The following is a 16,837-nucleotide window of genomic DNA, read 5'->3' as shown; positions in this document are numbered from 1 at the left end:
TCTTTGTGGCTAGACTGTCTCCCCAGCCACCATCTCCCCTGAGGTATGGCTGCCTATCTCTCATGACCAGATGGGGCATTTCCTGAAACCCACCCAGCTACAAGGGGAAGCAGCACCCACCAGGGCCTTAGAGGCTGAGCAAGGGCCATGACTTTAGGGCATTAACTTAAGGACAACAGGAAGGGAGGGAACACTGAAAGGTGTTAACTAGAGGAGAGGTGGGCACAGGGTAGAAATTGTCTCTTTGGATGATTCCCCAACCAGCTGGTGTGGATTGTTCTCTGAACTGTATTTTGAAAGAGAAGAATTAGGTAGCTGCCAGGTAAGGAAAGGTGGGAGGAGGGAGGAAAGGGGGAAGGGAGGCGAGGCAAGAACCTGAGCAGGTGCTCTGCAACCTTCATGAACTCCCCTGCCAAGCAGCTACTATTTCCCACGGCAACAGTCATTGACTCACAGGGAACCAAGGCAGAAAGAAGAAACGGTGTTTGATTGTGGCCAGAAGAAAGAAAGCCTTCCAGTGGCCAAGAGGAGGGGCACCTGGTGCTGAGTAGGTTGGCTCAGCAAATGGAGCTGATCCGTCCCTCCCCTTCCTTCTGCCTCCCTTCCCTCCCTCAGACAGTACCTGAGCACAAAGACACAATGGCTGCAAGGTCCCTTCTGTGTTATAATGACTTGGTTGCAGACATCTGGAGAGGGAGAGAGGAATTACCATGTTTCCTACTGAAGAACATTAAATCTCCTTCCGAAGACCTGCCCAGCTCTCAGCAGGGTGCTTTGTCCACCAGGCCAGATTCAACGTACCTATAAGGCCTCCTCTTACTGAATCTAGTGAGGCAGGGCTGCTCCACTTCTCAGAATCCCTCTCAATTAGCAAGACACAGCCTACTGCAGAGCATATTTTTGCAAGCAATAGAGGATTCCGTCCCCAAGGAGTCAACTAGCAGGAACTGGGCCCTGTCAATGAATCTGTGAAATGATCCTAAACAGGCCAAGTGAAGACTGTGCTTCAGGGCAGGGCTGGGATATGGGTGACTTGATTATTTACAGAGGCTTGTTACTCCAGAGGCCAGCACCCTCAAGCCCATTCACGTGCCGCACCTCCCTCTTAGGACTTATCACTGCTGGAAATGACATTCTTTCTTTCTTAGCCTCCCTCACTTGGCTACAGACCCCATTAGTACCATGTCTGCATCTGCTGTTCACCGCGGCAACCTCACACCCAGGGAAGTGCCAGGCATGTGGCGATCACTGACTAAATACATGCTGAATAATGACACTGCTCATGCTAAAAGGGGACAAGACAGGATGGAGGCTCCCAGGGAAATGTGGAGCTCAAAGAAACCTTCCATCAACATTTGATCCAAATTCTTAATTCCAAACAGCAAAATAAAAGTTTATACCAGCGATTCCAATCTCAGGACTCCTCCACGGGGGTCCTCAGTCTATTTTTCGAAGGGTCAAGAAGTCTACCAGAAATTTCACCTTCCTTTCCAATAAGACCACGGTTGTCACCTAAAATATCAAGCTTCTTTGTTCGATACTGGCCAGAATTATATCAACTCAGCCTGGTGACCCAGATCAGGAACTCCCACTGGCAGATATTTTTAGATAAGAAAGTAGAGGAATAAATACTTAACAATGAAGTTTATTTGGTTGATAAACTCCCTCACAGGGAAGGAGAACCAGTAAAAGGGATTTCTGGTATAGCAAATGTTGGGAACCACTAGTCTACACCAGTGGTTCTTCATCAAGGGTGACTTTGCACCCTCACCTGCCCACCAAGCCCAGGAAAGGCACTGAACTAAATGTGCTGCTGGGCTCTAAGCCACCAACGCGAGCAGCATTTGTGTTTACCTGGAAGGCAGGGGCAGAGACTGAGCTTCGTGTGCTCCTGAGAAGCTCTGTGTCCCACGGAGGCCTGGGGTTCAGAACCCAGGCTTCTCAGCAAGGGCAGAGAACGTGGGAGGGTTGGGTACCTCCTCTGTCTGTGGGCACAGCTAGCCTAGCGTGTATTTATGCTAAAAAATGCATTGAGATCCTCCCTCCAAATGGACTGTACTTACAGGCCAGATGCTTCAAGGCTGTCCCCCACTTCCCTTTCCAAGCCTGTTGCCGACACGGCCTCAGGAATGCAAACAAAGTGCAACAACACAATAACAATGACAACTGCATTTCCAGGTGGGGAAAAGAACATTCTCTATAGCGAATCAAAGCAAGCTCCCCCAAACCCACACCTGAAAAATCCATTAAACACATAAATTATAGAATTGGAAGCAGTGATAATGATTACTCCCCTCTGAACATACATGCAAAATGAAAACAAATGGGCGTATGTCCCATCACCAACTGAAAGACAGGTGAGGAGACTGTAAAATGGACCCAGTGGCTCCTGCCCCTCAGAGGAGTGGTGACTGCAGGGCCTAAGGCCCCAGCACAGTGCCCAACTTCCCCAGAAGTGCTGGGTCTCGGGCACCCCTGCCTCTTCCCACTGCCTGGGGGAGCTTCCATCTGTGGACCTCTGGCAGTGGCAGTGGCGGTGGCTGACTGGTCAGGAGGAGAGGGGCCCAGGCAGCTATTTGGTGAGAATCTCAACAGCAAGTTATGCATCAAAATCATCCCAAATGTCCCAGGGAAGGAGCCCAAACCCATGGTGGGCCTGGAGGCTGCATCCTCAATGCAGCAGAGGCAGGCAGGAATGGAACAGCACCCTGCAGCCAAGTCCTGGCCCTAACGAAGCCTCAGGTTTCTCTAACAGTCACTTGCTCAACTGTCCTCCAGGAGCTGCTTTGACAGCCTTCTATTACCTTTCTGGCAAAACCCAGGTGCGGTAACCCTGCAGCAGCTTCCACTCACTCCTGCAATGCCTGACAGGTACATGACAGGGGCAAGATTCCCATTTACTAAATAAAAGAATGATGTATGCTCATGAGTAGCTTACAGAGGTAAAACTAAGGCTGCCTGTGAACTGCAGTGACGGGAGGATCAGGAGTGAGTGACTGTTTCAGAATAGCCACTAAACTACTGAGGGCCCAGCACAGTGCCCAGCCCCCCAGAAGCGCTGGGTCTCGGGCACCCCTGCCTCCTCCCACTGCTAACTACTAAATGTCCTATCAATCCTATCCAGAAGCCTCAGCCCAGAACACCTCTGCAGACATTGCCCTGCATTGTGACATCCCTGTGGAGAGGTTCTCCAGCATCCAGTGCCTTCCTGTCGATGACGAGGTACAAGAGGTAAGGCACGGGAGGAAGGTGCTGGGGTACATACTGTGCTCCAGACAGCCATCTTCAAGTGCATTTCACAGCTCAATCCTCACCACCATGCATGAGATGGAAATCACTATTACCCTTATTTTACATCATGATGTTACATCAGATGACAGACAAACCTGGGGCTTTGAGAAGTAACATGGCAAAAGGCCCCTTAACTAACAAAAGGTGAACGTGAACTTGAACCAAAGCACTGGGACTCCAGGGATCTACCTCGGAACCACTGAGCCATTCAGTCTCCTTCATCACTAGGGAAGTGGTGTTAACACTTAGAATACTGCAAGGACACATTGTATTAGTTCCTCTCGCTGCTGTAACAAATCATCGCAAACTTGGCAGCTAATAACAACACAAATTTATCCTCTTACCCTTCTGGAGGTCAGAGGCTGAACTAAGTCATAAGGAACTAAAAGCAAGGCATCAGCAGGGCTGGGTCCTTCTGGAGCTCCAAAGGAAAATCAGTTTCTTGTCTTCCACTTCTAGAGGCTGCCAGCATTTCTTGGCTCCTGGCTGCATCACTACAATCTCTGCTTCCATGGTCATATCTCCTCCTCTAGGGTATTCAGTCTCCCTCTGCCTCCCTCTAATAAGGAACCACTAATAAGTAACTATTTGTGATTGCTTTGGGTCCACCTGAGTAATTCAGCACTCTTCCCATCTCAAGATCCTTAATTTAATCACATCTGCAAAGTCCTTTTTGCCATGTGAGATAACAGTCGAAGGTCCCAGGGATTATGGTCATCTTGGGGGGCTGCTGTCCAGCAGACCACATGTGTTGACTTGTCTGTACCCTGCACTGTCTTACTCGTCATCACATTCCCAGCACCTAGCAAGGCTCAATAAACGCAGAAGGAGGGATGAAGGGTAGGAACACAAGCATTCCATCCCTTGGCCCCCCACAAAGTGTGAGAGCAGAGACAGATGGGCTCAGGTCCAAGGAAGGCTGAGCAGACATATACATATGTACTGGGAACCCTTAGAAATTGCAAGGAGTCAGCACCTCATTGGCTTGAGGTCGGAAGTCCCCAATGAGTCATGTGTTTGTTTTCCTAACCCTGTGTGTTCCCACAGCTATTGCAGCCTAAATAGCAGGCCCACAAGCAGCAGGCAGCTCCTCTCATGCCAATTTCCTGGGAACCCAGGCAGGACTAGAGTAGCCAACAGGTTTACTGCTGTGCCCTGGTGAAGGCACTTTTCCTGCATGACAGTAAACAAAGCCAGACAGAAGAGAAGCCTGCAAATAACTGGATCCTTGCCACAAATGCTTTTATTGCCCCCTACCCCTGCCTGCCTTGTGATACTATGAACAGTTGCTTTTCAGGGTAAATAAAATAGCCATAATAGCTACTGCTCATGCCAGGACTTTGCAAACATCATCTCTATTCTTTTCAACAAATCAGGCAAAGCAAGTGTTTCTATGTTTATTTTACAGATGGGGAAACTGTGGCAAAGGCAGCAGTGAAGTCATTTACTCAAAGTCCCCTGCTTGGGAAAAGGCAGAGCAGGGATTCAAACCTGAACCTGTCAAACTCTAAGGTTGAGCTCTTTCAGCTTCGGCACACATTTGCCAAGTGTGAGGAATAAATTGTATATATGGAGACACAGGTCTTGTCTGTGTAACAGAGCCAGGTGTTCCAGCTTCCAAGTTAGAGCTAAGTGATCTGGAGCCCAAGCTCCCTTCTGAACTAAGGGTGCCCCTGCTTGTACCTACATTTGTCCATTTTGCACATGTATGTTTAGCTTCCATGCTGTGTTTGACCCTGTAGTGGGCACAGAGGACACAGAGATAAGTAAAGGAGCCACAGTCATCCCCTTCAAATGGTTCAGTTGACACGCACACCAAGAGATGAGCTAGAACAGCACAGTAAGTGTATTCTGGACCAGAGCGAAGCCCTGGAAGTGTAATGTTCCAAAATGGAAAGTCAGCAACTCCACCCAGGTGGTGAGAACAGTCTTGAGGGAAATGGGTTTCTTCCCCCAGATCCAGAAGGATGAACAGGAGTTTTCCAAGGGAAGAGAATACCAGTCCTTGCAGAGAAAAGGGCATCCTCCTTATAAACCTTTAGTTCACTGGGAAAAATAAATACATCCCTGGATTTATGTTTGGCACAGACTAAGTGTAGAGAAGGAAAGAGGAAGAAGAGGAGGAGGAGAAGGAGGAGAGAAAAGAGGGGGTGGGGGAGGTAGAGAACATCTTGTTTCTATCTCCCTCATTCAAAGCTCTGCACTTTGCTTTTATTAGGCCAAAGGTCAGGGCCAAAAAAAAAAAAAAAGGTGCAGAAGTGCAGATGGTACCACCTGTAAGCTCACAGCTCGGCAGGGCTGGGGAGGTGGCCGGCAAGGCAGATGGTTGCCCAGCCTTCTGACTCTGGCCACCCAGGAATCACTTTCAAATACGTCTTCTTAACATGGGAAAGCAAGCAAAAGTGTGGAGAGGGGCCTCAGGCAGGCAAGTGAAGAAAAGTATTCCTAAGGGAATTGACTTCAGGATACAGGCCAAAGACTGAATTTGGCATCGGGACTCCCTGGGGCTATGCCATGGTGAAGGGGAACAAAGGAGGAGGGGAAGCAGCTCCAACTACACAAGGAGGAATGCCTTACTTCAAGGCCATTGTTAAAATCAGAGCCCCAAGTCAGTTTCAGTTCTCAAGGCTGGAGATTTCGCTGAACTGGTGAGGCCCCAGCCTGCACACTATGGCCAATTTATGGCTCAAAGGCCTCATTTCTCCATGACCTATCTCAAAAGACCTTCTTCTGAAGACTCCAAAGATTTTACGAAAAATCCTCTGCTATGTTCTAGCCTCTGGGGTGGCCGCCCAGGGAGAAGCTTGTGGAAAGCCTGTGGCGATAGCAACCTGCGGAAAGGAGGTCACAATTTCTCTCTCCTAAAGCTTCTTTTCCTTCCAGTTTCCTTCCAAGCAACACTGTGAGGGAGAACTGGCTGCAAGAGTCACATAAGTCTGACTTGGGCACAGGTTTGGGTTCACACACACACATACATACACACACACATGCACACACACATGGGAACCAGGCAGGTGACATTTCAATGCTGGCTGAGCCACTGCTCTGTTAGGCAACCTTGATAAAGCCCCGTGGTCCCACAGAGCCTCGGAGAATCATACCATTCATCTCCTTAAGTGGATTGTTGGGTATTCAGTCACTGCTAGGTGCCTGCTAGTCTCTTCTTCTTTCTAACAATGCAAATAGTTTTAAGTAAGGACGACAGCAAAGCTCAGAGAAGCCTGAGGGACAGTTGAGATGACATCACCTGTGATCAAGTGCAAACAGGTCTTCACCCTACCTGCACCCTTACCTGAAGGGTGACTCTTCACCCTACCTGCACCCTCACCCTCCACCATGCACCTCTGCAGTGCCTTCCCACTCCGACACTCAGTGTGGTGAGGTCACTCGCCTCAGCCAATGGAGTGCTAGCAAAAGAGAGGCCAGCAGAAGCTTGGAAAGGGCTTACTCACCTAGGAGTGGTCTTGTCTTGCTCTGTGCTTTTCACCATAAGAACGACATTCCCCCAGCTAGTCTGCTGGTTTCAGAAGGAGACGAAAGACACAGAGGGCAGAGTGGAGACACCCCAGCCACTCCAGCAAAATCACATCAGCCACCAGGCAGCCACACCCTAGACATGGAGGCAGTCCAGCCAAGATCAGCAGGGCTGCTTGGCCAATCTCCCCAGATATGTAGATAATAAATGCTTAATATTGAAAGCCACTGAGATTCTGCAGTTTGTTACTTGGCATTGCCGTGGCAAAAATTAACTGACGCAATTATGGTACACCATGATGGAAATATAATATGCATATCCCAGGGCTACTGATGAGATGAAATGAAATAAATGAAGGTCTTAACTCAATGAATGGTAGCTGTGATCCACCATCTCATAAGAAGGCTTGAGATCACCACTAAGCTGTCTGGAGAGGTCAACGGAACAGCCTAAGTTTCCTGTCCTGAGGGAACAACGAAGTTCATGAAGGAAGCAGGAGTGGGGCAACCTCCTCACCCTTCTTGCTATAGCTCCACAGGTTCCAGCAGCCCTGGGCCCACTCACACAGTCAGGATCCAGAGCTGTAGGCACAGCAGTGTGGGCTGCGACCGTTTCTACACCCATGTCCTCCTCCTCAGCTCTGGGCCTCACAGACTCCACCGAATGACTGCTCGGGTCTTCAGCCGTCTCTTAAGGCCCGGTTTCCTGGGATTTCAAAATGATTCCGCCTCCAAGGCTTGTTCTCAGGATCAACAATGAAAATGGATTTGAAATCCCAGCAAGAAGCAGATTGCTACATGAAATGAAGGGATGTCTTCCTCTTTCACCACCGCCATCGCTGTCATCGTCGTCATCATCATCATCACGACATGGTTGTCCTATCATAATAATTAGGGGAACACAATATTCCAAAGGCTAGGGGGAAGAAATGGGGAGCAAGGTGGACCAGTGTTTCACAACCAGAGCCCCGGGTTCAAACGCCGGATTGTCTTCTCATGTGCTGTGAGATCTTAAGAAAGTTACTTAACATCTCTGAGCTTCGATTTTCTCATTTATAAAATGAAGATAACAGTACTACCTACCTCTTAGTGTCATTATGAAGATTAAATGAATTAATATAAAAATCAGTTAAAACAGTGTTTGGCATATATGAAATGCTCAGAAAGTATTAGCTGCTACCGTTATTACTACTGTCACTGTTATCATTATCAGATGCACACACACAGAGTAGGCACTTTAACTTATCGACCTGTCTAATCCTCACAAAAACTCTAAGAGTTTGGACTCATCCAGTCAGTTTTACAAGGTGAAGAGCCTTGCTTAGCTTCCAGGTTAATGCTTTGTACGCAATACCAGGGGCCCTGGCAACGTGCAGGCAATCACCGGGCCCAGAAATGCTCCCCGTGCCTCCCTACACCCCATACCTATGATCAGGAAACAGGCTGATAAGCTCCCTGGCAGTTTCCTGGGTCGCTTTCACTTTATTTGTGCTGCTTTCTGCAGCTTTTGTGTTCTACAATGCCCTTGGCTGGGCGAGCAGCCCCTGGGGCATCAAAGGCCCCGCTGGCAGCAAATACAAAGCCACAGCAGTGCCAAGGGTCCCTCCCCTGCCAGCCACCCGCCACCCGCCACGCAGCCCGGGAGATTCACAAGGAGGTGCCCAGCCTCCTAACCACTCCAGGTGTTACTTAACCCTCAGCCTTGTGATCTGTCCTGGAACAGGCCAGGTGCGCCGACCCCAGTGTGACAGGCAGAGCTGATGTCCAAGTTGCTCCTGGACTGAGGGCAGCAGGCAGATAGCTGTCAACACGATGGTTGGGAGAACTTTGGTGTGAAAGAGCTCAGAAAAGCTTCATAGGGAGGGCGCTGTCTTGAATCCAGGATGGAGAGATCCCTGTTTCCACAATTCGATAGTCATTTACTGAACACCTGCTCTAGGGCAGGCCTGGGACTGGGGCTGAGGGATTCAAAGACAATCTGACATGGTCCTGGACTTGAGGGGTACAGAAGCTAGTGAGGAGGCCATGTGGAAAGACACGTTCAATGCTGAGATGAGCTTTGAGCAAGAAATGAGATAAAAAAGAAGACTGAACTTCCTGTGTCTATTCACTCAGTAACTATTAACAGAATGTCCACTTTGTGGCAGATGCTGGGGAGATGACAGTAAGTGAGGCACACAGTCCCTGTTCTTAAGAAACTTATGTTCTTGTTGACTCTGCCTTGGGGAACTCCAAAAGCCTTCCCAGAGAAGCTTCTGGATGTCAGCTGTGCCTCAAGTAGCATAATTTTGGGGAACTTATGTTGCATCTCAGCACTTCCAGCTCCTCAACTGTCAAATGGATATAACATGTTTGTATTATAACATACCAGGTGGCCTTAAAATATTTTCCTGCAGAAAAATTCCCTAACAGAAAAAAAATTCAACTTACATTAAATGACAAAAGCTGGTTACAAAACCAGAGGAACCTATTCTTTACTTTTTCAAATATATGTATATGCAAGAATTTAATATGAAATGAAATATATATGAAAAGTATATAAAATGCATTACATATGTACATAATATAATAGGCATGCACTGTTATGTCCATATAAACTATTATTACACATGGTAATAAACTAGCAATTCTAGTGTGTGTAGGGGTATGCATACATATGTACATGTGCACACATGAGTATATACGTTGGTAGGATAAAAAGGTTTTTTTAATTTTTCTTTTTCTTAAGATGGCATCTCATTCTGTCACCCAAGCTGGAGTGCACTGACACAGTCACAACTCACCGCAGCCTCTAACTCCCAGGCTCAAGTGATCCTTCCTCTTCAGCCACCAAGTAGCTGAAACTGCAGGTGCCCACCACCATGTCCAGCTAATTTTTTAAAAAAAATTTTTATAAAGACAAGATGTCACTCTGTTGCTCAGGCTGGTCTCAAGCTGCTGGGCTCAAGCAATCCTCCCATCTCAACCTCCCAAAATGCTGGGATTAGAGGCGCAAGCCACAGCACCCAGCAACAAGTGTTTTTTTGTTTGTTTGTTTTTGAGACAGAGTCTCCCTCTGTTGCCCAGGCTGGAGTGCAGTGGCGCGATCTCGGCTCACTGCAACCTCCACCTCCTGGGTTCAAGTGATTCTCCTGCCTCAGCCTCCCGAGTAGCTGGGACTAAGGTTAGCGCCACCACGCTCAGCTAATTTTTGTATTTTTAGTAAAGACGGTGTTTCACCATGTTGGTCAGGCTGGCCTTGAACTCCTAACCTCATGATCCACCTGCCTCGGCCTCCCAAAGTGCTGGGATTACAGGCGTGAGCCACCGCACCCGACCGCAACAAGTATTTTTTAAGTTTTCTTTCACTTATCTAAATTTCTTAAATTGTGCAGTCAGCATGTACTACTTTTGAAATTTAGAAAATAGGAGGCCAGGCACAATGGCTCACACCTGTAATCCCAGCACATTGGGAGGATGAGGTAGGCAGGTTGCTTGAGCCCAGGAGTTCGAGACCAGCCTGGGCAACATAGTGAGACCTCGTTTCCTGCAAAAAAAAAGTCAAAAAATTAACTGAGGGTGGTGGTGTGCACCTGTGGTCCCAGCTACTTGGAAGGCTGAGGTAGGAGGATTGCTTGAGCTTGGGAAGCCAAGGCTGCAGTAAGCAGTGATAGAGCCACTGCACTCTACAAAAAATAAAATCAAATAAAAAATTAGCCAGCCATGGTGGTGGTGCTGTAGTCCCAAGAGCTGCTTGGGAGGCTAAGGTGGGAGGATTACCTGAGTCCAGGAGTTTGAGGCCAGCCTGGGCAACATAGTAAGACCCCATCTCTATAAAAAATAAAAAAATTAGCCAGGTGCAGTGGTATGTGCCTGTAGTCCCAACTACTTGGGAGGCTGAGGTGGGAGGATTGCTTGAGCCCAGGAGGTCAAGGCTGCAGTGAGCTGAGGTCACATCACTGCATTCCAGCCTGGGTGACAGAGCAAGACCCTGTCCCCAAAATAATAAAAAATAACATTTAAAAATTTAAAAATAGGAACAGGAGACCCCTCTTTCACACGAGTCTTTTAGGCTCCGATGCTCCTCAGCTACTAGAATGATGATCCCCCACATATTAACAGTGCTCCCCACAACTCCTGTTGAAGACTTAGCTTGCAATGTGCTAACCTACAGTATTCATCACCCTTCACTGTGCCGGTGAACTGGGTGCTCTATGCTCCCCACTTACAGAAGAGAAAACTGAGGCATGAAGCAGATAGGTCCCTAGCTAGAGATGGCAGAGTGAGGCGCTCGACACTCATCTGAAGCCAAAGCCAGTGCTCCTACCCTTTGCCCAGTCCTGCCTCTCCTCAGAGAGCTCAGAACCCAGCCAGGCTATTCCTGCTGCCAGTTCTCCTTTGTGGAGACAGAGGCTGTGGGATGCACTGCCTGGGACAAACCAGAGGGCTTCACTATGGAGAACAGGGAGCCTGGGAAAGGACTCTGGGCTGTGGGAACAGCCCCAGCCTGTGGCCCTGGACGCAATACCCATGCCAGCCGAGGAGAACGTCCAGGCATTTCTGTCCCCATGTGAATGGGCCTGGGAGCAGCCAGGTCCCAGGAGCCAGAAAGGCGGGAAGCAGCTGCCAGCGCGCCGGCACCAGCACCCTGCCTTGCGCGCTCGGGCCAGCTTGGTTGGCTGCCTGTCAAGGCTTCAAAGGAGTGTGCAATGCAGGCTGGGGGACCTGGCTGGACTGGTTGGCCTGAAACCGAGGTGGCTGAACAAAAGGAGGCCGTGTGGGCTGGTTTGGCGGGAGCCCGTGGCGGGACGGAGGGCAGGAAGCGGGAGACAGCAGTGGGAGGACTGGGGAGAGATGCAAGGTGCACTTGGCACTGGGCAGCCTACGCCTGCAGGAGGGGACCAAATGCCAGCTGGGGGCCTCAGGTATGAGCCACATACAAGGGAAACAGGCTCAGGGAAGGCTGTGCCTTGGCAGGAGATGGCCAGCAAAGTGCAAACTCTTGTGCTGGTTAAACTCCAAGGGATTAGGTGCAGCATCTGTGCATTCTGGGAAATTCATTGAGTCATTTCTCCATTCATCCAACAGTGGCTGAACACTCACCATGAGCCAGCACTCAGTAGTGCTGAGAACCTAGCTGGGGGCCAGAACACCAGGGCCCCTACCTTGGCCACCTTGCATGGTGCCACAGCCCAGGGAGGCAAGAACCCAGGGTCTCTTCAGGATGAAGAGAAGGCAGAGACTTGTCACATGGCACAGAGCATAGACACGATGCCTGGGCTCCCTGGTGATTCCATCACTGACTCTGGGACTCAAAGCCTATGGCTTCATCCCCTGAGCCTCAGTGCCCGTCATTCACTATATGCTCAGTAAGTGTTGGCCAGGCAGTCAAGCCCATCAGTGCATGGGTAGGAGTGGGTAAACCCAGGATATAGGATGCCTGTCCCCACCCAAGTTCCCTTCTGACTGCATGCTGCCCACTCCCAAGGGAATCACCACCTTGTGGGTGAGAGGTTCCACTCTCCAGGGACCTCAAACAGTGAAGTCCTGAGCACAGAGCCTGGCACTCTAGGTGTCCAGCTAAGGGGAGCCACTGTTAGTGCTGCCGGGGAATACAACAGGGGGAGGAGGAGTCACTTGACTTCAGAGCCACACAGGCAGGGTTGGGACCCAGATCCAAGGGACTCGGAGCCTGGCTTTTTCCTCAACTTCAAGCCAGCACCAAAGAGAAGGTCACAACCTGACCCATCTCTGAGATTCTTATGTAAGAACAGAGGGAGATCCACACATAAATGGAAGCAGGGGAACCATGCATGGTGTCTTGTAATCAACGGTCACAACAGATGACCCATTAGAGAACTCAAGAAGATCGAGGAAGGCAAAGAGAGGGGCTGGGAGGTGGCAGACAAGAACGCCTCAGTGCACAGGCCTGGGAGTCAGGGTCCCAGATTCTGCTCCAGACTCTTCCATCTCTTCTATGGAATGAGGCCGGTCACGTTCCCCAGAGAGCGTCTTCTCATTTGGTAAATGAGAGGGCAAGAGCAGAGGATCCACAAGGTCTTTCTTTGCACACTACAGTTCTGTGCTTCCAGAGGGAGGGTAGGTGGGAGACTATAAGGAGAAGGCCAATATTTGAACTTTTCTGGCCTCTCGAACAGGATCAGCAGAGCTGGAACAGCTCTGGGTGCTGCCTGCCTTCCCAGGGGTCTAGCCAGCCTCCTCACCCTCCAGCCTGCCCTGGTGCAGCTGATCTCGGTCGTAAGCCAATGTGGCATGCAGAGAGACAGGTTGCAGAGATGGAGACAGAGGGATCTGGGCTCATTTTCTACCCACTGCTCGACGTGGGGCTTGGGGAAAGATATTTCTCCTCTGTGAGCCTCAGCTTCCTCAGGTGTAAATATGGATGAGAATAACACCTGCTGCAAAAGGTTGTCAGAGAGATTAAATGAGAGCCCAAACAAAAAACAGAGCAGAGAAACATGAATTTCTCTCTCCCTACTCTCACTTTATTTGAGCACAAGCCCTTTGAATAAAAAAAAAAATACAAATAAAAAAATAAAAAGTCTTCTTAAATGTCCACAACTACAAAACAAGAGTGAATCAGAAAGAAGGCTGGGACTGGGTGCGGTGGCTCACGCCTGTAATCCCAGCACTTTGGGAGGCTGAGGCAGATGGATCACTTGAGGTCAGGAGTTTGAGACCAGCCTGGCCAACATGGTGAAACCTCATCTCTACTAAAATTGCAAAAATTAGCTGGGTGTGGTAGTGCACACCTGTAATCCCAGCTACTCTGGCAGGAGAATCACTTGAACCCTGGAGGCGGAGGTTGCAGTGAGCTGAGATCACAACATTGCACTCCGGCCTGGACAACAGAGCAAGAGTCTGTCTCAAAAGAAAAAAAAAAAAAGGAGGCTGGATTCTCATAAGGAAGATCTGGGCTCCAGTCTCTGCTCTGATACTTATTCTACATTAAGCCACTGGGGGAGCTACTCAAGCTCTCTTGGCCTCAGTTGCCTCACCTGTAAAATGGGGCTAAAAAGAATGCTCCATTCACAGGGTTTGGGAGACCTTAAGTGAGCTAATGTATGTGAAAATGCTTTGGAAATCAGGGAGCTTTCAAAACGTTAATTATTGCAATGCTCTGACTTAGTAAGGCAGATCCTCTTGTAAGAAACAGCCTTGGAAATAGTCTGTCACATGGTTCCAACAGGAAGGGAGCTGTATTGAGATTCTGCACGAATTTAAATCTTCCCTAACATCTAATCAAAGGCAGGCAGTATGGCAAATTCTTTCAGATGTGGCCCAAATGGTCTGGGAATGGTGCAAGACTGGGCATTTGGAGAAGGGTGCCTGGGGTGAGCTGGACAGGAGACTCTCTCCCCTGAGGGCTGAAGGTGCCTGGTGCAGGGCTCTCAGGCACCTTGCCAGTGTTTGTTCTGTGCACATTGCGCAGGCCTCCTGCCTTCTCCTCTGGGTACATCAGGTGATGGTGGGATTATTACCTGCCTGACAGGTAGTTGAGAGACAGGGGTACAAAGAGGGCAAGAAACAGCTCCTCAGAGAAGCTGCCAGCCCAGCAGCTGGCCCCCGAGGCCCCGAACACCCAGGGTGCAATGACGGAAGGCATCCTGCTTCCGTACCCCGAACCGCTGAGCAAATACACAAGTGTGGCAGGTGCCTGGGGCTGCTAGCCAAGTAGGGCTCCTGCCTGGCCTGCGCCAGCCCAAACAGCTCCCTGGCACCGCTCCCACCCTCTGAGCTGGCAGGCAGAACGAAGGATAGGTAGATGCCGGGGCAGCCAGCATGAGGGGCTTCTCTCCTCAGATCCTTGGAGGTGTTGTCTAGAAATGGCATGTCTGGGGCTGGGCACAGTGGCTCACGCCTGTAATCCCAACACTTTGAGAGGCCAAGATGGGATCACTTGAGGCCAGGAGTTTAAGATCAGCCTGGTCAACATAGCGAGACCCCACCTCTATAAAAATAAATGAATGAATGAATGAATTGATTAGAGATGGCACACCTGCAGCTAGCCAGCCCTCAGGCCTCTTCCCAAAAGGCATCCTCCTCATGATGCTGACTTGCTTCCCTGAAGACAGCACAGGCGCATAGGAGCAGCTCAGGTGTTCCCTGGTGTGTCTTTTGTTGTTGTTGTTAAACCATAGTGCTTCTTTTAAGGTGCTCACGTGGAGGCCTAGAAACTGATAATGTCTCCATGGGAAACTTTTTTTTTTTGAGACAGGGTCTTACTCTGTCACCCAGGCTGGAGTGCAGTGACACAATCATGGCTTGCTGCAGCCTGGACCTTCCTGGGCTCAGGTGATCCTCCCACCTTAGCCTCCTGAGCAGCTGGGACTACAGGCATGCACCACCAAACTAGGCTAATTTCCGTTATTTTTTTTGTAGAAACAGGGTCTCACCATGTTGCCCAGGCTGATCTGGAATTCCTGGGCTCAAACCATCCACCTGCCTTGGCCTCCCAAATTGCTCCCCGAAATGCTGGGATTACAGGCATGAGCCACTATGACAGCCCTCCACAAGCAACTTTTATCCAGGAATTTCAGTGACACCCACTGGCCCATGAGATCTCAATAAGTCACACCAAGGGCCCTGGAAGGGGTATCAGGTAATCTGGTTACACTCACTGCCGTGTAGCCTTCGGCAGGCCACTTCCATTCACAGGTGCAATTCCTTCATTGATAAACTGAGGAGCTTCACCTGGATGCCTGCTGTGGGCTCTGCAGACGGTGGTGGGGTGTAAGAGGCTGTCCTTTGCTGTGAGGTAGCTCTGGATCTAGAAGTTTGAGCTGTTACCTCCTTAGCTGTGTGCTCTCTGATCATCTATTTGATGTCTCTGAGCTGTTTTGTCCCCTTTAAAAATCAGGAGAGCAATTCCTCCACGCAGAATAGATAAGAAGTGCCTGGCGTAGAGCAAATGCCCAAAATATGGGGACCGCTGTTTTTTTTGTTCACTCATGCTGTGTTCTCAAACTGATACTGATGTCAAGCTGTTTTCTCCTTGAAGAATGTAACAGGCTTGCCTTGGAGCCAGGGACCCAAATTACTCCGTAGATCAATCGACATCTCACGTAAAACTAGGAACCTAGCTACTTCACGTCTCTCTCTCTGAATGTCCAGCAAATGGCATTTCCACTCTTAAAGAATTTCAAGTGAGTGGCAGTGATTGCAGCCTACTAGAGATGTTCTGAATAGAGAAATCAGGTGCAAAAGAGTTACATAATTTATCCTTATAAGACCATTCAGTCATTCCAAAAGTAGTTGATGTATCAGGCAATGCATGTAGCACTAACCAACCCATGCCCTGGCAGGATTTGAATCCAATAGTTATTACTATTGTAATAGTAATAGTTATTACTGAGTTTCCCACTGTACCTATTACCAAAACAATGGTGCACAACGAGCTCAGTGGCATAAGCACTAAGTGTCCATATATCTGCGTGGTCAAGTAGGTAGCTTTGGTGATCTTGGCTGGGCTCACATGGAGGTCTAGGAGTTGGCTGGCTGTCAACTGATCTAGGTTGGTGTCAACTGGGACCATTAGAGCACCTGAGTTATGTTCTATGTGTCATTCTTTCTTCTCCCGGAACCAGTGACTAGCCCTGAAATCTCTTTTCATGGTGATAAAAGAGATTCAACAGTGGAAATGGAAACAGTATTTCAAAGCTCAGCTTGCAGCCGGATACAGTGGCTCATGCCTATAATTCCAGCACTTTGGGAGGCCAAGGCAGGCAGATCACCTGAGGTCAGGAGTTTGAGATCAGCCTAGCCAACATGGTGAAACTCTGTCTCTACTAAAAATAACAAAAATTAGCCAGGTGTGGTGGTGCACTCCTGTAATCCCAGATACATGGGAGGCTGAGGCAAGAGAATTGCTTGAACCCAGGAGGTGGAGTTTGCAGTGAGCCAAGATCAGGCCACTGCACTCCAGCCTGGGCCACAGAGCGGGACTCTGTCTTAAAAAAAAAAAAAAAAAAAAAATCTCAGCTTGCGTCATGTTTACTAACAGCTTATGAGACACAGTCAGTCCAGAATGAGATACAGGGAATGAGTGAAGAATTAGGGCCATTCCTGTAAT

The 16,837-nt window shown here is 49.2% G+C and overlaps 1 long non-coding RNA gene across 51 annotated transcripts in view, besides 3 other annotated features; it reads right to left on the bottom strand.

Moving 5' to 3' along the window:
• PVT1 (Pvt1 oncogene) overlaps nt 1-16,837 on the bottom strand; it is a 306,733-nt gene that overhangs the window by 61,654 nt on the left and 228,242 nt on the right. Inside the window, exon 9 of one of the 51 annotated variants that reach the window (NR_186138.1) lies at nt 7,331-7,644. The exons of the other annotated variants lie outside the window; for them this stretch is intronic. This is a non-coding gene — a long non-coding RNA (Pvt1 oncogene). The remainder of the gene's footprint in view (nt 1-7,330; nt 7,645-16,837) is intronic. 51 annotated transcript variants of the gene reach the window in all.
• Nucleotides 475-1,124: an enhancer, noted in NCBI's record as "H3K4me1 hESC enhancer chr8:129050725-129051374 (GRCh37/hg19 assembly coordinates)". NCBI's record gives its function as "activates a minimal SCP1, AML or CMV promoter by ChIP-STARR-seq in naive H9 embryonic stem cells {active_cell/tissue: H9 hESC(naive)}" and the evidence as "EXISTENCE:reporter gene assay evidence [ECO:0000049][PMID:30033119]".
• Nucleotides 1,125-1,776: an enhancer, noted in NCBI's record as "H3K27ac-H3K4me1 hESC enhancer chr8:129050073-129050724 (GRCh37/hg19 assembly coordinates)". NCBI's record gives its function as "activates a minimal SCP1, AML or CMV promoter by ChIP-STARR-seq in naive H9 embryonic stem cells {active_cell/tissue: H9 hESC(naive)}" and the evidence as "EXISTENCE:reporter gene assay evidence [ECO:0000049][PMID:30033119]".
• Nucleotides 13,922-14,422: an enhancer, noted in NCBI's record as "H3K4me1 hESC enhancer chr8:129037427-129037927 (GRCh37/hg19 assembly coordinates)". NCBI's record gives its function as "activates a minimal SCP1, AML or CMV promoter by ChIP-STARR-seq in primed H9 embryonic stem cells {active_cell/tissue: H9 hESC(primed)}" and the evidence as "EXISTENCE:reporter gene assay evidence [ECO:0000049][PMID:30033119]".

Source organism: Homo sapiens, chromosome 8, assembly GCF_000001405.40.
Source record: "Homo sapiens chromosome 8, GRCh38.p14 Primary Assembly".
NCBI classification, from domain to species: Eukaryota; Metazoa; Chordata; class Mammalia; order Primates; family Hominidae; genus Homo; species Homo sapiens.
The sequence above is the reverse complement of the archived record's forward strand: the minus strand, read 5'-3'. Positions and strand labels throughout refer to the sequence as shown.